Below are 22,265 nucleotides of genomic sequence, written 5' to 3'. Positions count from 1 at the left end.
AGGCTCAGCACAGAGAGTGGAAAACAGCAGAGGTGACAGAGCAGCCGTGCTCGAAGCGTTCCTGGAGCCCAAGCTCTCCTCCACAGGTGAAGACAGGGCCAGCAGGAGACACCATGGGGCACCTCTCAGCCCCACTTCACAGAGTGCGTGTACCCTGGCAGGGGCTTCTGCTCACAGGTGAGGGGAGGACACCCTGGGAAGGGGCGGAAAGAGGGCGCACAGAGAATGGCTAGGGTCCTCTGGGGAGGATGGAGCTCTAAGAGGGGACAGAGGGCTTCTCTTGGAGCCAAATAGGAGAGAGGACATGAAAGGGATAGAGATCATAAAAGGAAAGTCTCAGTGATCTGAAACTGTTAGTGAATAAACAATCTCCCATTTTTTACCTTTTCCAACTGAATCATCAATGAGCAATAAATTTCAAAAACTGCTGACAATAATCACAATTTAAGTCAGCGTGACAATTAAGGAAAACATTTTAAAAGGGGCATTAAACAGAGCCCTGAGCCACCAACCTCAGATATTGGCAAATAAACCCCAGGACATGAAGAGCCCTGGGAATGCTCACTAACTCATCCACAGGAGTCTGCAGCCTATCCCAGGCACTGGGGTGCAACCAACATCACACAAATCCCTGCCCTCACGGAGCTCACGCTCTCATGGGTGGGGAAGACAGACAAGCAAAGAGATCTAGAATGTGAGGTCAGGTGTTGACAAGAGCCCTGGAGGGAACAGAGCAGAAAAAGGTCAGAAAGGGAATACCCAGGGTCTCTAGGGGAGGTGTCAGGGAAAGGATCTCCCAAGAGCACCCTGATGTGATCAAGATCTGAGGGCAGTGGGGAGGGAGCCATGCGGATCCCTGGGGAAGGGCATTCCAGAGAAATGACAAGGTCAGAGGCACTAAGGGAATGGGAGTCACACTGCTGACCTTGACCCAGTAGGACACACACACACACACACACACACACACACACACACACACACACTCCAAGGTGGAGGGGTGAAGACACCTGCTCAGGACCCAAGGCCCCATTTTTCTACCCTAATGCATAGGTCCCAATATTGACTGATGCTCTCTCCTCTCTCCTAGCCTCACTTCTAACCTTCTGGAACCCGCCCACCACTGCCCAGCTCACTACTGAATCCATGCCATTCAATGTTGCAGAGGGGAAGGAGGTTCTTCTCCTTGTCCACAATCTGCCCCAGCAACTTTTTGGCTACAGCTGGTACAAAGGGGAAAGAGTGGATGGCAACCGTCAAATTGTAGGATATGCAATAGGAACTCAACAAGCTACCCCAGGGCCCGCAAACAGCGGTCGAGAGACAATATACCCCAATGCATCCCTGCTGATCCAGAACGTCACCCAGAATGACACAGGATTCTACACCCTACAAGTCATAAAGTCAGATCTTGTGAATGAAGAAGCAACTGGACAGTTCCATGTATACCGTGAGTATTTCCCCATGACCTCTGGGTGTTGGGGGGTTAGTTCTACTTCCCACACATGGGATTGTCAGGCCTGGGCTGTGCCTGTGTCCTCCTCTGCATTATACCCCATGTTAAGGTTTGAGCATCTAGTGCAGGACACACTATGGGACAGACATCAAAATACCGAATGTCTTACTCTGGAGTCCTGATCCTGCAGACATTTGCTTCAGAGGAAGGACAATCTGATGTGGGTAACTTATCGAGGGGAGACCAGTCTCAATCTAGCCCCCCGGGACCCTCCTGGTGAACATGTCCCTAAGAAAGACCCAGTAGGACTCAGTCAGGGTCTGGCCTGAAGGGCCTTCTGGGATCCTCACAGACAAGCTCAGCCCTGGGAATCCCCTGCTCCAAAACACTATCCCAAGGTTCTCAACTCCTGGTGACCCTGAGGAGCCTGGGCCAGGGCTAGATTGTGGCCTCCTGGGCAGGGCTGACTAGGAACAAGAATTTGAGCTATCCGAGGGCTGTGGCTCCTGGAGCTGGTAACCAGCCAGGGTTCAGGCACTAGAGCCTCATTTGGGCAAGGATGGAGCCTCATCCTTCACCTTAGTCTCAGCCTGGAGAGGACAGATGGACAAGCTCCCCAGGCCATCAGCCAACTGCCCTGGGGGCTTAGGAGATGCCATAGGAAGTTTACCATCCCCAGGAGGAGGAACAGAGGAGACAGGATGCTCCTGAAAGCTCCTTGTCCACCAGGGATCAGGCTGAGAGGCACTCTCAGGGAATCCAACAACAATAGATGCTGCGGCCGGGAGCGGTGGCTCACGCCTGTAATCCCAGTACTTTGGGAGGCCGAGGTGGATGGACTATGAGGTCAGGAGTTCAAGACCAGCCTGACCAACATGGTGAAATGCCGTCTCTACTAAAAATACAAAAAAATTAGCCGGGCATGGTGGTGCGTGCCTGTAATCCCAGCTACTCAGGAGGCTGAGGCAGGAGAATTGCTTGAACCTGGGAGGCAGAGGTTGCAGTGAGCCAAGATCACACCACTGCACCCTAGCCTGGGTGACAGAGCGAGACTCCATCTCAAAAAAATAAAATAAAATAAGATTGTTTATTTGGGCAGCTCCCCTATGCAGAGCTGAGGTCAAATAATTATAAATATTTTAAGGTTAATTCACAGACCACAAGATAAGCCAAAACCATTAACCATTTATACTATTTCACTGAGGGGAAACTGAGCCACATGGCAATAAATACAGTCACTATATCAAGGTCACACAGACCGTAACTGGAAGATCAGTTACAGGAGATTTGTCTTCAGCCACAGTCTTAACCTCTCCTCTACTCCAGGGGCCTTATTTGGCATCTGTGGACCCCAATACCAGAGTTGGTTCAGTTCCTTTCTTCTTAGGCATCTGCAGCCCAGAGGGGAGATCCTGGTCTGGGGAGTGAGATCAAATGGAGAATTAACCAAGTTTTATTCTGGAACTTATTCAACAATTAGAGTCAGTGTCAGAAATGTTCAGGCCTGGGTCAGGTGTGGTGGCTCACACCTGTAATCCCAGCACTTTGGGATGCCAAGGTGGGCGGATCACTTGAGGTCAGGAGTTCAAGACCAGCCTGGCCAACATGGTGAAACCCCATCTCTACTAAAAATACAAAAAAAATTAGTCGGGCATGGTGGTGCGTGCCTCTAATCCCAGCTACTTGGGATGCTGAGGTGGTAGAATCGCTTGAACCCAGGAGGCAGAGGTTGCAGTGAGCCAAGATCATGTCACTGTGCTCCAGCCTGGGAGACAGAGTGAGACTCTATCTCAAAAAAAAAAAAAAAAAATGTTCAGGCCTATCCCCTCAGACCCACACCTCTGCTCCCTGGACTTGAAATCCTGTGTTTCCTGATGTGTTGGTGTCACTCCCACAGGAGGATAAAGGAAAGGACTTTGCTTTCTCTCCTCACTCACACCCTGCACCAGCCAGGGCCCAATATGAAACACACACTCAGTAGTTCTCTCACGAATGAATGAATGATTGAATGATCCATAACCTCTTTAGAGACTGGATCTGGTTGCAGAATCCTGGGAGGTTCTTGCCATACCTGCTCCCCATCCCTCCAGAGACTGAGACCCATGTTCCATCCCCTGACCATCTACCCCTAAAGCCACCCCAAGTACCATATTTCATGTGACTCTGGGGCTGCTCGGCTGTGGGAAGGTTTTCAGGGCTCCCTGGTCTTGGTTCTGGGACACCAGAGGCTCCTGGTTGCTGGGGTCTCTAAGGTCACTTAGCCCCCACTGCTCACTGTCATGGGCATCTCTGACTCTCTCTGCTCCTCCATGTCCTCATTTTCCTCTCCTTTTATCCCAGCTGAACTGCACAGTTTCCTCCACCCTTAGGCCTTTCCCAGACACTCCGTCTAACAAGGTTGACTGTCCTGTTCCCTTCCCGCTCACACTGTGGCCAGGCCCACCTCCCAGGCAATAGGAAAGGCACAGAAATGAGCCCAGAGCAGCCACCCCTGCCAGGTCCATCATAAGCCACTGTCCCCACGTCCCTCAGTGAGGCTGACATGTGGAACAGGCCAGGGGACAGGGACGAGCGACTCCTCCATACACTCTCTATACTGACTCACCAGGGGATCAGAGGCAGAAGGACAGGTCTGCAGTCCCCAAAGCCCATGGGCTCATTTCACCCATTTGACTCCTAACTCCATCCCTGTTCTGCTGTGGGCTCACATCCTCTAGTGGTTCCTGGGACCTTCCCCAGGTAGAGCTAGCCAGGCAGGTGCTGTCTGATGGGTTTGCTGCCCATTCCACCTACACCTGTGTCCTCATGATGACACCATTGTCATAAGGTGGGATCTCTCAGACAGGGAGATGCATTAGCCACTGGTGTCTCACTTAGACTCTGCCCAATTTGGATGAATTTGGTCAAACTCTAGTTGTGTTTCCTGAGGTTGAGAGAAAAGGAAGAAAGCATTTCACATGACTGTTTTGGGTTCCTCTTTTTACCTGAATTTCCACAGGAATTTGTAACATAGAACTCTTTCTAAATTTACTAACATAACATACATCACTTCTCCTCATATGGCATCGTTTCTCTCTTAATGCAATTGAGAACTCTCAGATATCCTTTCTGACAAGTTCTGTCTTCCTAACAGGACCCATGAGTCCCTTCTACCCAGGGAGTCACTGATTTCAAACTGACTTCAGCATCTTTCTTTGATCATAACATGATCCTACTGGACTTCAGAGCTTGGTTTAAGAGTTTATCACGCTCTCTAGAGAATATTCCTCTTATTAATTGGTGTTAGATCCAGAGTATTAATAACAATTTTCACAAATGGAATAATTTAACTTCTCAAATTTATATCCCAGATCTACCAAACACACACGGTCCATGAGGGTCAGGCTTTCAGCAAGTTCATGCTCCTTCCGTTCCACTAGCTGGTTATTCTGCATTTGCAAAAAACCCACATATTTCAGAAAAGATCCACAGTGTCATCATCTGCTCTTTTCAGGGGGAAAAGGGACATTAAAGACCAAAGACAAGGAACGTAGATATGCTGTTAAATCCAGGCAGCCCCTGCCTGTCACCCTCACTCTTTTCTAGATCATTCCTTGGACTCTGCTCTATCTTTAGGGGGTCACTGGCTCAAGTCAGTCATCATCAAACACCTGGGAAAAACTGCCCCACCTTGTGGTTCTGCTGCCTGACGACTGAGCTACCTTCAGGCTTGCCCCTGGTGTCCCCTGTTATTTCTGCTGAAACATACAGTCCCAGGCCAGGCTGCTCAGTATCCTCAGGGTTTAAGGACAATAGGAAGTCCCATCATCACCCATCTCTAGGATGTCCTCAGACAGGGAAGCTGCAGAGAAAACACACCTAGTGGGGCAAAGTAGGACTGTGAAGCTGGAAGGGACCCAGCACCTGTATGTTCCAGGTGAGGACCCACAGGTGGGTCAGGCAGGCATCAGCCAGTCAGGGAAGGACCAGAAGTGCCTGGGGCTGTGACTCCCAGTCCTCGGTCTGTCCACGACCCAACACTGCTGCTCAGTTCACACTTGAGAAAGTCTGTGCTTCTCTCACACAGAGCAGGCGGCCTCACGGTCTCTGAGCCCTCAGATCATTGCACATCTGTCTTGTGAAACACACACTTGCCATGGGCTTTTAGGGACTTGGGTTGGCTGAGAGGTGGGGAGATGCCAACTCTGATTGAAAAATGCCCGGACGGAATCCCAGCACTTTGGGAGGCCGAGGCGGGCAGATCACGAGGTCAGGAGGTCGAGACCATCCTGGCTAACAGTGACCATCCTGGCTAAAATACAAAAAACTAGCCGGGCATGGTGGCATGCACCTGTAGTCCCAGCTACTCAGGAGGCTGAGGCAGGAGAATCGCTTGAACCCGGGAGGAAGAGGTTGCAGTGAGCCAAGATCGTGCCACTGCACCCCAGCCTCAGCAACAAAGCGAGACTCTGTCTCAAAAAAAAAAAGAAAGAAAGAAAAATGCCCAGCCAGGCACGGTGGCTCAGGCCTGTAATCCCAGCACTTTGAGAGGCCGAATCGGGCGGATTGCCAGAGCTCAGGAGTTTGAGACCAGCCTGGGCAACACGGTGAAACCCCGTCAGGCATGGTGGCATGTGCCTGTAATCCCAGCTACTCAGGAAGCTGAGGCAGGAGAATTGCTTGAATCCAGGAGGTGGAGGTTGCAGTGAGCCGAGATCGTGCCATTGCACTCCAGCCTGGGTGACAGAGCGAGGCTCCATCTCCAAAAAAAATAAATAAATAAGAAAAGAAAAATGCCTGTGGAGGAATCAAAGGTGCCACACAGGGCAATCTTCTCTCTGTTTTCTGCATAGCGGAGCTGCCCAAGCCCTCCATCTCCAGCAACAACTCCAACCCTGTGGAGGACAAGGATGCTGTGGCCTTCACCTGTGAACCTGAGACTCAGGACACAACCTACCTGTGGTGGATAAACAATCAGAGCCTCCCGGTCAGTCCCAGGCTGCAGCTGTCCAATGGCAACAGGACCCTCACTCTACTCAGTGTCACAAGGAATGACACAGGACCCTATGAGTGTGAAATACAGAACCCAGTGAGTGCGAACCGCAGTGACCCAGTCACCTTGAATGTCACCTGTGAGTATCTTCTGTTCCTCTGTGGCCCAGGCTGCCAGCCCAAATCCACGCAGCCAGAGGCCAGGCCTCTCAGTCCCTCTCAGGTCTAAGGACGCAGACCCTTAACCCTGGACACCCAGGCTGGCCATGACTTCCTTTCCCCAGGCAAACCTGGGCAGCCCCAGCCTGAACCAAGAATAGGAGGGGAGAGGCTGCTCCTGTCCTGGGAGGCTCAGGGTCCACAGCCTGTGATGGGAGAAACAGGTGAATGTCTCAGACCCAGACTCAGTGGACACAATGGAGGTTTGGTTAGGACTTCAGGGTTGTGACTTAGTAGAGAGGAACACTGTGGCCCTTCTCCAGACCAGCAGCTTCCCCTTCCCTCTGATGACATCACCTGTGGCTTTATTCTCTTTGCTCCAGATGGCCCGGACACCCCCACCATTTCCCCTTCAGACACCTATTACCGTCCAGGGGCAAACCTCAGCCTCTCCTGCTATGCAGCCTCTAACCCACCTGCACAGTACTCCTGGCTTATCAATGGAACATTCCAGCAAAGCACACAAGAGCTCTTTATCCCTAACATCACTGTGAATAATAGTGGATCCTATACCTGCCACGCCAATAACTCAGTCACTGGCTGCAACAGGACCACAGTCAAGACGATCATAGTCACTGGTAAGTAATTCCTGGAGCATCAACACTAAGATCTGGGGTACAAGCTTTCTGGTTTTCAAATAGGAGCAGAGAAGAAATTTTCTTTTGCAGCCTGTATCCAACAGGCACAAACAAGTCCAAATTCTCCCCTGAACCCTCTCAATTCATCTGTGCAGACTCTCTTCCCTTTGTTTTTCTGATTTCTCACAGCTGACCTTAGGTCCAGCCTGGAATGTGGGGAGGGGGTTCTCTCAGCCCCAGAAAGCCCCGTGTAGCAGGAGGGGCTTCACAGAGGGGGAAGCAGAAAGGGTCCTCAAGGTCAATTTGCTTCTGTCACTAACATGTCCCTTTCTGTAACTTCTTGGCCTTCTTTTACCTATTCCATGAGATATAAGGAATATGTGAGGTTTTAAAACAGACTCACAATAGTTTTCCCTAAATGAGAGAAGGAAATGCCCTTCATCAGGGATGAGCAGCTCAGACTCTGCTCCCTGCTCTACTCCCGGCTTGCCCGGTGATTGGCTCTGCCCTGACCCCATGTGGGGTAGGACGCAGGTGTGTGCAGAAGGTGTCCAGGTGGCCTGTCATGAATCCAGCTAAATCAAGATGGCAGTCAATGGCTGGGCGCTGTGGTTCATGCCTGTGATCCCAGTACTTTGGAAGGCCGAGGTGAGAGGATCACCTGAGGTCAGGAGTTCGAGACCAGCCTGACCAACATGGCAAAACTCCATCTCTACTAAAAATACAAAAAAAAAAATTTAGCCAGGCATGGTTGCACATGCCACTAGGCATGCCACTAGGGAGGCTGAGGCACAAGAATCACTTGAACCTGGGAGGCAGAGGTTGCAATGAGCCGAGATGGCACCACTGCACTCCAGCCTGGACAACACAGAGAGACTCTGTCTCAAAAACTAAATAAATAAATAAATAAAGGCAGTCAACACCTGAGCCTCCCCTGGGTCAGGCTGCCTCCCTGAGCTTGTCCTGGCTCTGAAGTCACCAGCTGTATGAGGCTGTGGGCACAGCACATGGGATAGCACAGAGCACAGCGAGTGACCCACACTTGGAGAAATCGGGAGATTCAGCCACAGGGGCTCTGCATTGGAGAGAATGGGCAATGCCAAACAGCGTGTATTTGTAGAGAAGGTAAGAATATCAGCCTTTTGTTAACACTGTGCCTACTCTAGGAATCTCCTTCACCGTGATATTCTATCCACAGACCAGGAAGTAAAACTCCTCTTTACAGTGGGAAATCCTTCGGATTGGAACTCCAGATAGTAAGGTCATGAAGACTGGATGGGGCATCATCATTCCCTAAAAAATTATTTAATGAAAAAAAACACTACCTTCCCTTTTGTATGTAAAGTGACAGTCACAGGAAGGATGCCTGATCACAGCTCCAGGAAAGGGTCAGTGGGAGGCCAGGCACAGTGGCTCACGCCTGTAATCCCAGCACTTTGGGAGGCTGAGGCGGGTGGATCATGAGGTCAGGAGATCAAGACCATCCTGGCTAACATGGTGAAACCCCGTCTCTACTAAAAATACAAAAAATTAGCTGGGCATGGTGGCACATGCCTTTAGTCCCAGCTACTCGGGAGGCTGAGGCAGGAGAATGGCTTGAACCCGGGAGGCAGAGCTTGCAGTGAGCTGAGATCATGCCACTGCATTCCGGCCTGGGTGACAGAGCGAGACTCCGTCTGAAAAAAAAAAAAAAAAAGTCAGTGGGAAAAACATTCTACCTGATGATGAGGTTGCTCGGTCTGTGCGCTGAGAAGAAGATTCCAAGTGGAGATATAGAGATATCCAGAGGGTCACTCTGAGACGATCTGGGGTCAGGAGGGAGGTGCAGCCCTCTCCTTACAATTCATCACCTGAACAAAGACACTCGACCTTCTGCAGAGGGTCAGGGCTATCCCCTGGTTGGTGACCTTTGCACAGCTCACTGTGGGACCTGAGAGCTGGCTAAAATCTCAGGGAAAGGAGCATAGCCCTAGGCCCCAGGCCCCAACCCTATTCTCAGTAGGTTATCTCAGATACTCTGCTTGTCCACAGAGCTAAGTCCAGTAGTAGCAAAGCCCCAAATCAAAGCCAGCAAGACCACAGTCACAGGAGATAAGGACTCTGTGAACCTGACCTGCTCCACAAATGACACTGGAATCTCCATCCGTTGGTTCTTCAAAAACCAGAGTCTCCCGTCCTCGGAGAGGATGAAGCTGTCCCAGGGCAACACCACCCTCAGCATAAACCCTGTCAAGAGGGAGGATGCTGGGACGTATTGGTGTGAGGTCTTCAACCCAATCAGTAAGAACCAAAGCGACCCCATCATGCTGAACGTAAACTGTAAGTGACTCCTCACCCCTTCCTATATGTCCCTCTAGGATTACTCTGTCAATGGTGTGCAAAATGGATAAAACTCACAGGAGGCAGAATATCAATGAAGAGACCATTATAGCAAACAGAATTGCAAAGTGGTTAAGAGCTCAGCTCAGGCCGGGCACAGTGGCTCACGCCTGTAATCCCAGCAGTTTGGGAGGCCAAGGCGGGCGGATCACGAGGGCAGGAGATCGAGACCATCCTGGCTAATATGGTGAAACCCCGTGTCTACTAAAAATACAAAAAAAAATTAGCCGGGCATGGTGGCGGGCGCCTGTAGTCCCAGCTACTCGGGAGGCTGAGGCGGGAGAATGGCGTGAACCTGGGAGGCGGAGCTTTCAGTGAGCCGAGATGGTGCCACTGCACTCCAGTCTAGGCAACAGAGCAAGACTCTGTCTCAAAAAAAAAAAAAAAAAAAGAGCTCAGGCTCTGAATCAAATATACATATACTTAGTTGGTTTTTTTTGGTTGGTTGGGTTTTTTTGTTTGTTTTGTTGTTTTGAGACAGGGTCTCACTCTGTCACCCAGGCTGGAGTGCTGTGGTGTGATCAAAGCTCACTCCCGCCTCAATCCCCTGGGTTCAAGCAATCCTGCCACCTCAGCCTCCAGAGTAGCTGGGACTACAGGTTGCACCACCATGCCTGGCTAAGTTTTTAAGTTTTTTTGTAGAGTTGGGGTTTCACTGTGTTGCCCAGGCTGGTCTCAATCTCCTGGTCTCAGCCTCGGCCTCCCAAAGTGCTGGGATTACAGGAATGAGCCACTCTGCCCACCCCGTATTTAACTATTCTAAGTACCTCTCATACAGATGGAAGCATGCAATATTTGTCCTTTTGTGTCTGGCTTACTTCATTTAGCACAATGTCTTCAAGCTCCATCTATGTTGTAGAATGTATCAGAATTTCATTCCTTTTGGAGACTGAATAATATTATGCTGTGTAGATAGATACATCACATTTTGCTTATCCACTCATCCATCTATGGACAGTTAGGTTGCTTCCACCTTTTGGCTATTATGAATAATGCTATTACAAACATGGGTATACAAATATCTGTTCAAATCCCTGCTTTCAGTTCTTTTAAATAGATACTCAGAAGTGGAATTGCTGGATCAAATGGTAATCCTGTTTAATTTTGAAGAACCATCATACCATTTTCCACAGTGGCTATACCATTTCACATTCCCACCAGCAATGCACTAGAGTTCCAATTTCTCTACATCTTCAAAAACATTTGTTGCTTTCTGGTTTTGTTTTGTTTTTTATAATGGCCATCCTAATGGTTATAAGGTGGTATATCATTGGAGTTTTGATTTGCACTTCCCTAATGATTAGCAATATTTAGCATCTTTTCATGTGCTTATTTGCCATTTATCTTCTTTGGAGAAATGTTTATTCAAGTCCTTTGCCCATGTTTTAATTAGGTTGTTTGGGGATTTTTGGTTGAGTTGCAGTAGTTCTTTATATATTTTGGATATTAATCCCTTATCAGATATATGATTCTCAAATATTTTCTCCCATTCTATAAGAAGTCTTTTCACTTTTGTGATAATGTGCTTTGATACACAAAAGCTTTTAATTTTCATTAAGTCCAATTTCTCTACTTCTTCTTTCGTTGCCTATGCTTTTAGTGTCATAGCCAAGAAATCATTGCCAAATTCAATGTTCCAAAGTTTTCACTCTATCTTCCAAGAGCTTTATAGTTTTAGCTCTTACATTTAGGTCTTTTATGCATTTTGAATTAATTTTTATATATGGTGTTACATAAAGGTTCAATTTCATTCTTTTGCATGGATATCCAGTTTCTTCAATGCCATTTGTTGAAAAGACTATCCTTTCCCCACTGAATGATCTTGGCACCCTTGTCAAAAAACATTTGGCTATGTATGCAAACATTTCTTTCTGGGCTCTATATTTTATTCCACTGGTTTCTATTTCTTTTTGCCAGTACCATACTGTTTTGATTACTGTAGCTTTTGGATTTTGTTTGTTTGTTTTATTGTTGTTGTTTGGGTTTTTTTGTTTTGTTTTGTTTTTTTGCTTTTCTTTGTAGAGATGGCGTTTCACCATGTTGCCAAGGCTGGTCTCAAACTCCTGAGCTCAAGCAATCCACCCGCCTCCACCTCCCAAAGTGCTAAGATTACAGGTGTGATGATTACCATAGCTTTGTAAAAAATTTTGAAACCAGGAAGTGTGAGCCCTTCAACTTTGTTCTTTTTCAAGATTGCTTTGGCTATCCATGGTCCCTTCAGAGTCTATATAAATTTTAGAATGAATTTTTCTATTTCTGCAAAAAATATTACTGGAATTTTGATAGAGATTGCACTGAATCTGTAGATCACTTTGGGTAGTACTGTCATCTTAACAATATTAAGTCTTCTAATCCATGAAAATGGGGTGTCTTTTCAATTTATGTCTTATTTAATTTCTTTTGGCAATGTTTTGTATTTTCAGGGTACAAATCTTTCACCTCTTTGGTTAAGTTTATTTCTAAGTATTTTTAAAGCTCTTATAAATAGAATTTTTTTCTTAATTTTCCTTTGAATTGTTATTAGTATACAAAAATACAACTGATTTTTGCATGTGGATTTTGTATCCTGCCACTTTGCTAAATTTATTATTCTAACAGTTTTTTTGTGGAATCTCTAGGGTTTTCTATATATAAGTTAGTGTATTCTGCAAACAGGTATAATTTTACTTCTTTCCAATCTAGATGCTTTTTTTTTCTTGCCTAATTGTTCTGTCTAGGTCTTCCAATACTACATTGAATAGAAATGGCAAAAGCAGGCATCCTTGTCTTGTTCTTGATCTTAAAGGAAAAGTTTTCAATCTTTCACCATTGACTATGATGGTAGCTGGGGGTTTTCACATGTAGCATTTATTATGTTGAGAATTTCCTTCTATTCCTAGTTTCAGTGTTTTTTAGCATGAAAGAATGTTGAATTTTGTCAAATGCTTTTATCGACTCATTTTCATTACTGGTTATAGGTCTATTCAGATTTTCTATTTATTCATGATTCTATCATGGCAGGTTTTGTGTTTCTAGGAATTTGTTCATTTCATCCAGGTTATCCAATTTGTTGGCATTCAATTACTCATAGTACTCTTATAATCCTTATTATTTCTGCAGAATTAGTAGTAATGTTTTACTTTCATTTCTGACTTTAGTAATTTGAATCTTCTTTCTTTCTTAGTCAATCTAATTAACAGTTGTCAATTATAGTGATCTTTTTTGAAGAACAACTTTTTTTTTTCGGTTTGAGACAGGTTCTCACTCTGTCACCGAGGCTGATCATGGCTCACCACAGCCTCAACTTCCCGGGTTCAAGCAATCCTCCTGCTTCAGCCTCCTGGGTAGCTGAAACTACAGACAAGCACTACCACCTCCGGCTAATTTTTGTAATTTTTTGTAGAGACAGGGTTTCACCATCTTGCCCAGCTGGTCTCAAATTCCTGAGCTCAAGTGATACACCTGCCTCAGCCTCCCAAATTGCTGGGATTACAGTCATACACCACTGTACCTGGCCTACAGTTATAAATTTCTTTCTTGCACAAGATTCTTAACTACTCTGAGCCTCGGATTCCTCAACCGAAAATTGCACTGTGAATGCCTGCTCCATAGTATTGCACGGGTTTGGGGTTTTTGTTTTGTTTTTGAGACAGGGTGTCACTCTGTCACCCAGACTGGAGTGCAGTGGTGCAAACACAGCTCACTGCAGCCTCAACCTCCTGGGCTCAAGCAATTCCCTCACCTTAGCCTCCTAAGTAGTACATACTACCACATCTGGCTAATTTATTTTTATTTTTGTTTTCAGAGAGACAGAATCTCACCATGTTACCCAGGCTGGACTCGAACTCCTGGGCTCAAGCAATCCTCCCATCTGTTTCCCAAAGTGCTGAGATTACAGGTGTGAGCCACCACGCCTGGCCCCATAGTGTTATTTTAAAGATTTAATGTAATAATAAACCTTCAGCAAAACACCACACACAGAGGAAATGTTTCATAAATGTTAGCTGCTATTACTACTACTATTATCATTAGCCTTGAAATCAGGTAGTCCTAGGGTCAAATCTCAGATCCACCTCTCACTAGCCATCTGACTTTAGGTAAGCCTTTTACCACTCTAAGCTTCCATTTTTTCATGTTTAAAATGGAAATAATGTCTACCTGACAGCACTATTTTATGGATCAAATAAGATACATGTAAAGCATTTAGCAGCACAGGGCCTGGCACACAGGAAGTACTCCACAAAAGTAGCTAACATAGCATTAGTCACCAGCCTGAGTTGACTGGTGAGGGTTAAGCCCCAAATAGTTGCAACAGATATAAACAAGAAATAGGCTAGACACAGTGGCTCACACCTGTAATCCCAACATTTGGGAGGCCGAGGCTGGAGGATCTCTTGAGCCCAGGAATCCAAGACCAGCCTAGGCAATATAGTGGAACCCTATCTCTACAAAAATTATTTTTTTTTAATTAGCCAGGTGGGTGGGCGTGGTGGCTCACGCCTGTAATCCCAACACTTTGGGAGGTTGAGGCAGGCGGGTCACCTGAGGTCGGGAGTTCAAGACCAGCCTGACCAGGATGGAGAAACCCCGTCTCTACTAAAAATACAAAATTAGCCAGGCGTGGTGGCGCATGCCTGTAATCCCAGCAATTCAGGAGGCTGAGGTAGGAGAATCGCTTGAACCTGGGAGGCAGAGGTTGCAGTGAGCCGAGATCACGCCATTGCACTCTAGCCTAGGCAACAAGAGCAAAACTCGGTCTCAAAAAAAAAAAAAAGAAAGAAAAAAATTAGCCAGGTGTGGTGGCATGTGCTTATAGTCTCAGCTACTGAGGAGACTGAGGTGGGAGGATCACTTGATCCCAAGAGGCTACAATGAGCCATGATTGTGCCACTGCACTCCAGCCTGGGTGATAGAGTGAGAACCTGCCTCAAAAAAAAAAAAAAAAAAAAAGAAGAAGAAGAAATAGATGCAAAAGGTATTATTTATATATTATATATATATATATATATATATATGGAGGGAGAAGCATTATACAAGAAACCCACTGGGACATGGCTATGATCAAATATGGGAAAGGGGGAAAAAAGGAGGTAAAGCAAAGTCTCAAGCCTGGTATGTTAGTTTCCATCTACTGAGATACAGTGAAGATGGGATTAAACATACGAGATAATTTATTGGGGAAAATGCCTGTGAGGGAAAGTAAGGCGAGAGTGAGAGGAACCTCAGACCATGATGCAGATCTGATTCCTGTGGAAGAGAAAGAGAGGAAGGAAGTTTTAGATTGAAGTGCAGTTTTTGTTTGTTTGTTTTTTGAGACAGAGTCTCACTCTGTTGCCCAGGCTTGAGTGCAGTAGTGTGATCTCGGCTCACTGAAACCTCTGCCCCCCGGGTTCAAGCGATTCTCCTGCCTCAGCCTCTCAAGTAGCTGGGATTATAGGCACCTGCCACCGCACCCAGCTAAATTTTGTATTTTTAGTAGAGATAGGGTTTCACCATCTTGGCCAGGCTGGTCTTGAACTCCTGACCTCGTGATCCACCCGCCTCAGCCTCCCAAAGTTCTGGGATTACAGGCGTCAGCCACCGCGCCCGGCCTGCAGTGCAGTTCTAAGAGCATTTCTGCAAGGCTGACAGGGAGTCCTCCAGCCATTCACACTTCAGAATAAAACAGTCACACAAAACTGGGCTAGCTTTCATACCCCTGCTGGGAGCCTGTGGGAAGCCAGTTCTCTATGCAAAAGAGGTGGTGAATTCAGAATGCACCAACTGCCACAACTGAGACACTGAGAAAAAGATGCAACCACGAAAAAGGTGGAAAGTTCTAATCACATACAAAATAGCAATCAGCCTTTCTCATATTTCAAAGCCTTAAAAATGGCTGAGCGCAGAAAAGCCAGGGTGGAATTGGCAGAAGAGAGATCATCAACCTAGAAACATGGTGACTGGGGTTGGGCGCAGTGGCTCACGCCTATAATCCAAGCACTTTGGGAGGCCGAGGCAGGCGGATCATGAGGTCAGGAGTTCAAGACCAGTCTGACCAATATGGTGAAACCCCGTCTCTACTAAAAAAATACAGAAATTAGCCAGGTGTGGTGGCACGTGCCTGTAGTCCAGCCTGAGGCAGGAGAATCGCTTGAACCTGGGAGGCGGAGGTTGCAGTGAGCCAAGATCATGCTACTGCACTCCAGCCTGAGAGACAGAGCAAGACTCTGTCTCAAAAAAAAAAAAGAAAAGAAAAAAAGAAACATGGTGATTGAAAAAAAAAAATTGCAAGGATATAGTTAGCTAATCACCTTCCAGCAACCTTCCCACAACGAAACTGTATTCCTTGAAGGAACAATTAGAAACTACTTCATTCTGAGAGTTGTTTCCCAGCCCCCATTGTAAAATAATTTCACTTTCATTTCTTCTCCTCTTTTCTCTCCATGACAGATAATGCTCTACCACAAGAAAATGGCCTCTCACCTGGGGCCATTGCTGGCATTGTGATTGGAGTAGTGGCCCTGGTTGCTCTGATAGCAGTAGCCCTGGCATGTTTTCTGCATTTCGGGAAGACCGGCAGGTATGATGGCCTTTCCTCTTGTTCTGTTTCCTCCAAGGCTGACTGCCATGCTTGGGAGAGGGAAAGAATTCTTTGCCTGTCTCTGGGCCTGGATCTCATACTCCTCCCACTAAACTCCTGCTTCTCGGCACTAATTCCCACAGGTTTCCTCTTCCCTGGTCTTCGTGCTCCCTGTCTCCCATTATCTCTTGGACATGGGTATTCCAATCCCCATCTAATCTAGAGGAAGAGACTCAAGTATGTTCCTCTGTCCCCTAGTCAGGGAAAGCAAGGTCTAAGAAGGAAAACAAATGAAAAAATGAAAGAAGCAGCAGGAGAAAGCAAGTCATGTGCTCTGTTGACCACATTGGAAGAGGAGGGAGAAATAGCATAGGAAGAGAACCTAAGAGAAAGCAAAAACAACCAAAGTCCTCTTGAACAATAAATAGAGAAAAAAAAAAAAGTATCTACCCCGGAAAACAAAATGGGAAAGGTTTTAAGGATAGAAGTAGGCACAGAAGCAGCTGATAAAGAATGAAATGAAATGTGAACATCCAGCAAACAGGAAAAGAGTAAACACTAGAAGGGATTGTAGTTAGACTGAAGAACGAGGCCCTCAGAAGAAAGGCAGTATGAACATCAAGGACTCTAAGGAATTACCTGCTCACAGTGTCCTTCCTAACTTACGGAACAAAGATCCTGTGCTTGGGAATAGCAGTCACAGTTTCTGATATTTATTTAGGGCAAGCGACCAGCGTGATCTCACAGAGCACAAACCCTCAGTCTCCAACCACAGTAAGTAAAGCCACTTACCCCAGTGAGAACTGGTATGTTCCACCACGTGCCCTCCCCTGGCAGGGAATCCTGGATTCCCAAACCACTCCCTCCCTTCTGAATTTTCACAGAAAGGATCTCTATTTCCCAACCCTAAGGTGGCATAGGTCTTCCCACCCTTCCTAGCCACAGGAGTCCCCTGAGACACATCTGAGGAGAGAGGCTCACTCTGCCTAGGCCAGGCAGGCCTGAGGAAGATCCCATGTTTCCAGGAGCCATTTCCTCAGCCTTACTCCTTCCGCCTCCTGCCTCTATTACGGATGTGGGCACTCTCCCTTGGTGAGACTTTCCTTATCTTGTGGGTGCTGTGGGTGCTACAAGTCTCAATGCCCCTCCTTGCCACTGGAGCATGTTGCTGAGAAACACATCTGGGCAAAAATCAAGGCCTTGTGAACTGGTAGAACTCTTCACAAGTGGATTGTGGCCTCCTGTGGTTCTGCCCCTGCCCCCTCTCTGGTACTAACATGCTGGGTCTGGACCATACACTCTGAGGGAAGTAAATTCCTTAACTGATCCTTAAACTCCCCACCCTCCAACTGCCACCTCCTTCAGCTAGAATCACCTGAAGTCAGCTTTGCATTTCCATGGATCGCTAACTCTTCTTTTGCTTCTCCAGCTCAGGACCACTCCAATGACCCACCTAACAAGGTAAGCATAGCCGGTTTTCATGGGCTTATTTTCTCATGGAAATGATTCTGTGTAGAATTGATTATTCATGAAGACACAATGTAACATCAAGTTTGGGTTAATGTTCCTCAGTGCAACAACAAAGACGTATTTGTAATCACTCCCATGAGTCTACTTTGCAGCAAGAACATGCATTTTGGAATTATTCCCATCCTGTGTCTGAATACTGGATGTGACTCTTAGTAGCTCTGTGACCCTTGTCAAGTAACTTAACCTCTTTGATCATCAGCTTTGTCATCTGTAAAATGGGCATTCTGCCTACTTCAAAGAGAAGTTGAAGGGATTAAACGAGATAACCTACAAAGAGCACCCAGCACAATGGCCTAAAAAAGGAAGGCACTGAATCATTCTCACTCCCCTACCTTCAGTCTGATCCTGCTCTTATTGTCAAAAGGATAATTTCAATTTTAATAGATCTGAGATCCTGTTTTTTAATAATAATTTTATAGAATTTTTCATTTTATGGCCAGGCACAGTGGCTCATGCCTGTAATCCCAGCACTTTGGGAGGCCAAGGCAGGTGAAACACAAGGTCAGGAGATCGAGACCATTCTGGCTAACATGGTGAAACCCCAGCTCTACTAAAAATACAAAAAAATTAGCCAGCTGTGGTGGCGGGCGCCTGTAGTCCCAGCTACTTGGGAGGCTGAGGCAGGAGAATGGCGTGAACCCAGGAGGTGGAGTTTGCAGTGAGCCAAGATTGCGCCATTGCGCTCCAGCCTGGGCGACAGAGGGAAACTCTGTCTCAAAAAAAAAAGAAGTTTTCATTTTACCTTTTCAATAGAGCAAACATACATACTGAAAAGTGCTAAATCATAATTATACTTTCACAATGTATGAACTTTCACAAGTTGAACACACCCAGGTAAGCAGCACCCAAATCATGAAATACTACATGACCTCCCCTTAAAAAGAGACCCTTCCAGCCAGGTGCAGTGGCTCACACCTGTAATCCCAGCACTCTGGGAGGCCAAGGCAGGTGGATCACTAGAAGTCAGGAGTTCTAAACCAGCCTGGCCAACATAGTGAAACCTTGTTCTACTAAAAATACAAAAAATTAGCCGGGCGTGGTAGTGGATGCCTGTAATCCCAGCTACTTGGGAGGCTGAGACAGGAGCATCGCTTGAACCCGGGAGGCAGAGCTTGCAGTGAGCCGAGATCGTGCCATTGCACTCCAGCCTGGGCGACAGAGCGAGACTCCGTCGCAAAAAAAAAAAACTCTACCAGTCACTTCCCTCCAAAGAGGAGTAACCACTATCCTGACTTCTAATGCTCCAGATTAGTATTGCTTGGTTTTGTTCCTATCTAAAGGAGAAATAAAACATATCCTTATATGTGGCTTCTTCAACATTGCTTTGTGAGACTCATCCATATTGTATGTATTTGTGGTTTGCTGGTTCTCATTGCTGCATTATCCTATCCCATTGCATATATACCATAATTTCTCTCTTCTAATGATCATTCATCAGGAGGTCAGCAAGCAGAGAATGGGTAACAACAAAAGCCCTTCTCCAGAGCTAAAATTTCAAAATGGTAACAGCTTGTGGTGCTGAATCACACCAGGCAAGGTGAGGCCCTGCCCTGTGTCACTGACTTAACTGATCATTATTTGTGCTTTTCAGATGAATGAAGTTACTTATTCTACCCTGAACTTTGAAGCCCAGCAACCCACACAACCAACTTCAGCCTCCCCATCCCTAACAGCCACAGAAATAATTTATTCAGAAGTAAAAAAGCAGTAATGAAACCTGTCCTGCTCACTGCAGTGCTGATGTATTTCAAGTCTCTCACCCTCATCACTAGGAGATTCCTTTCCCCTGTAGGGGTAGAGGGGTGGGGACAGAAACAACTTTCTCCTACTCTTCCTTCCTAATAGGCATCTCCAGGCTGCCTGGTCACTGCCCCTCTCTCAGTGTCAATAGATGAAAGTACATTGGGAGTCTGTAGGAAACCCAACCTTCTTGTCATTGAAATTTGGCAAAGCTGACTTTGGGAAAGAGGGACCAGAACTTCCCCTCCCTTCCCCTTTTCCCAACCTGGACTTGTTTTAAACTTGCCTGTTCAGAGCACTCATTCCTTCCCACCCCCAGTCCTGTCCTATCACTCTAATTCGGATTTGCCATAGCCTTGAGGTTATGTCCTTTTCCATTAAGTACATGTGCCAGGAAACAAGAGAGAGAGAAAGTAAAGGCAGTAATGCCTTCTCCTATTTCTCCAAAGCCTTGTGTGAACTCACCAAACACAAGAAAATCAAATATATAACCAATAGTGAAATGCCACACCTTTGTCCACTGTCAGGGTTGTCTACCTGTAGGATCAGGGTCTAAGCACCTTGGTGCTTAGCTAGAATACCACCTAATCCTTCTGGCAAGCCTGTCTTCAGAGAACCCACTAGAAGCAACTAGGAAAATCACTTGCCAAAATCCAAGGCAATTCCTGATGGAAAATGCAAAAGCACATATATGTTTTAATATCTTTATGGGCTCTGTTCAAGGCAGTGCTGAGAGGGAGGGGTTATAGCTTCAGGAGGGAACCAGCTTCTGATAAACACAATCTGCTAGGAACTTGGGAAAGGAATCAGAGAGCTGCCCTTCAGCGATTATTTAAATTATTGTTAAAGAATACACAATTTGGGGTATTGGGATTTTTCTCCTTTTCTCTGAGACATTCCACCATTTTAATTTTTGTAACTGCTTATTTATGTGAAAAGGGTTATTTTTACTTAGCTTAGCTATGTCAGCCAATCCGATTGCCTTAGGTGAAAGAAACCACCGAAATCCCTCAGGTCCCTTGGTCAGGAGCCTCTCAAGATTTTTTTTGTCAGAGGCTCCAAATAGAAAATAAGAAAAGGTTTTCTTCATTCATGGCTAGAGCTAGATTTAACTCAGTTTCTAGGCACCTCAGACCAATCATCAACTACCATTCTATTCCATGTTTGCACCTGTGCATTTTCTGTTTGCCCCCATTCACTTTGTCAGGAAACCTTGGCCTCTGCTAAGGTGTATTTGGTCCTTGAGAAGTGGGAGCACCCTACAGGGACACTATCACTCATGCTGGTGGCATTGTTTACAGCTAGAAAGCTGCACTGGTGCTAATGCCCCTTGGGGAAATGGGGCTGTGAGGAGGAGGATTATAACTTAGGCCTAGCCTCTTTTAACAGCCTCTGAAATTTATCTTTTCTTCTATGGGGTCTATAAATGTATCTTATAATAAAAAGGAAGGACAGGAGGAAGACAGGCAAATGTACTTCTCACCCAGTCTTCTACACAGATGGAATCTCTTTGGGGCTAAGAGAAAGGTTTTATTCTATATTGCTTACCTGATCTCATGTTAGGCCTAAGAGGCTTTCTCCAGGAGGATTAGCTTGGAGTTCTCTATACTCAGGTACCTCTTTCAGGGTTTTCTAACCCTGACACGGACTGTGCATACTTTCCCTCATCCATGCTGTGCTGTGTTATTTAATTTTTCCTGGCTAAGATCATGTCTGAATTATGTATGAAAATTATTCTATGTTTTTATAATAAAAATAATATATCAGACATCGACATGCTGCCTCATGGTTGATACTACCTTGGACAATGTTTTTCTCTACAGGCAGAATAAACAAATTGTTCAATGGGGAGTCAGAGTAAAACTCTTTTTTTTTTTTTTTTGAGACAGAGTCTCACTGTGTCGCCCAGGCTGGAGTGCAGTGGCGCAATCTCCGCTCACTGCAACCTCCACTTCCCTGGTTCAAGCAATTCCCCTGCCCCAGCCTCCCCAAGTAGCTGGGATTACAGGTGCATGCCACCATGCCCAGCTAATTTTTTTGTATTTTTAGTAGAGACGGGGTTTCATTATATTGGCCAGACTGGTCTCAAACTCCTGACCTCAGGCAGTCCGCCCGCCTTGGCCTCCCAAAGTGCTGGAATTACAGGCGTGAGCCACTGCGCCCGGCCGTGAAACTATTTTTAAGCCTACAGATATTTGATCTAGTGATCAGAGAATTAGCTAAATTCATTTGCATACCTGCTAACAAAGTGAGTATATCTGGGAGCAACAGACCACAGCTCCAACTTGCCTGGGAGGAAGTGCCTATCTTCCTCTGGGAGGGAAGATGATCTCATGAGTAAAAGACCTCCCAGCCTCTTCATTAGGGGCCAACAACACTTCCCACACCAGCGGCTCCAGTGAATCAGATGTAGCTATACAAGGGTCTCCACAGGTTCATTCACATAGAAATCCCTCTAGACCTTCTAACTCTTCCTGGTTCCCAATTCCTTTATTCTGCCCTCTAGGAGGGTCGGATCTCTTCTAACCCGAATAGCCTTCATTTATTAATTCTGCTAAGTACTAAGCTATAACCTCATTTCCTTCACTTCCAAGCAATTGAAACACATGTGTTGTCTTTGCCTTTCCTCATCACCTAATTTTTCCTGGCCCTCTGCAGTGCCTCCCTACCCAAGATCGCTGGGAACAGCACAAAATCAGTATCCATGTCTTGGCCAAATCCAAAGGCATTTTTAGGGACCTCACACTTTTTCCTTTTACAATATCTAAGATGACAGACAACTTTTCCCTTCTGGAAAGCTCTCCTCCCTCCATTTCCCACTTACGACTGCTCCCCCACACCAGATTTAGTACTCAGA

General features: G+C 46.3%; 1 protein-coding gene and 2 long non-coding RNA genes across 10 annotated transcripts in view, besides 1 other annotated feature; 1 reads left to right on the top strand and 2 right to left on the bottom strand.

Annotated features, from left to right (window-relative positions):
* The window catches only part of LIPE-AS1 (LIPE antisense RNA 1), a 255,208-nt gene that overhangs the window by 123,868 nt on the left and 109,075 nt on the right, over window positions 1-22,265 (bottom strand). The gene's annotated exons all lie outside the window — the stretch shown is intronic.
* On the top strand, window positions 7-21,182 carry CEACAM1 (CEA cell adhesion molecule 1). Of its 7 annotated transcripts, none has more exons than NM_001184815.2 (9): window positions 7-177; window positions 1,088-1,447; window positions 6,286-6,564; window positions 6,967-7,221; window positions 13,385-13,477; window positions 16,009-16,138; window positions 16,860-16,912; window positions 17,568-17,599; window positions 19,260-21,182. In NM_001184815.2, the coding sequence occupies exons 1-9, from the start codon at window positions 114-116 to the stop codon at window positions 19,377-19,379; spliced, it is 1,386 nt and encodes a 461-aa protein (NP_001171744.1). In that variant the 5' UTR covers window positions 7-113; the 3' UTR covers window positions 19,380-21,182. The 7 variants fall into 7 exon arrangements, with proteins under 7 accessions (NP_001171744.1, NP_001703.2, NP_001171742.1 ...); NM_001712.5 differs by lacking the exon at window positions 13,385-13,477 and adding an exon at window positions 9,253-9,540; NM_001184813.2 differs by lacking the exon at window positions 13,385-13,477.
* LOC105372407 (uncharacterized) lies at window positions 2,619-5,730 on the bottom strand. Its single transcript, XR_935974.3, has 2 exons — window positions 5,123-5,730; window positions 2,619-2,870 (listed from the first exon to the last, which is right to left on the bottom strand). It is a non-coding gene; the product is annotated as an uncharacterized LOC105372407 (long non-coding RNA).
* Window positions 15,902-16,091: an enhancer, noted in NCBI's record as "active region_14720". NCBI's record gives its function as "activates an Ori minimal core promoter by ATAC-STARR-seq in GM12878 lymphoblastoid cells {active_cell/tissue: GM12878}" and the evidence as "EXISTENCE:reporter gene assay evidence [ECO:0000049][PMID:35858748]".

The sequence above is a fragment of the Homo sapiens genome, chromosome 19 (genome assembly GCF_000001405.40).
Source record: "Homo sapiens chromosome 19, GRCh38.p14 Primary Assembly".
Lineage (NCBI taxonomy): Eukaryota > Metazoa > Chordata > Mammalia > Primates > Hominidae > Homo > Homo sapiens.
Note: the sequence above shows the minus strand (reverse complement) of the source record. Positions and strands in the feature narration are given on the sequence as shown.

Excerpts from the sequence above, each read along its gene's own strand:
- CEACAM1 (NM_001712.5), top strand. The coding sequence starts at position 114 with ATGGGGCACCTCTCAGCCCCACTTCACAGAGTGCGTGTACCCTGGCAG. Across the intron at positions 178-1,087 it reads GCAGGGGCTTCTGCTCACAG|CCTCACTTCTAACCTTCTGG; the intron begins GTGAGGGGAGGA and ends CCTCTCTCCTAG. Across the intron at positions 16,913-17,567 it reads ACCCTCAGTCTCCAACCACA|CTCAGGACCACTCCAATGAC; the intron begins GTAAGTAAAGCC and ends TTGCTTCTCCAG.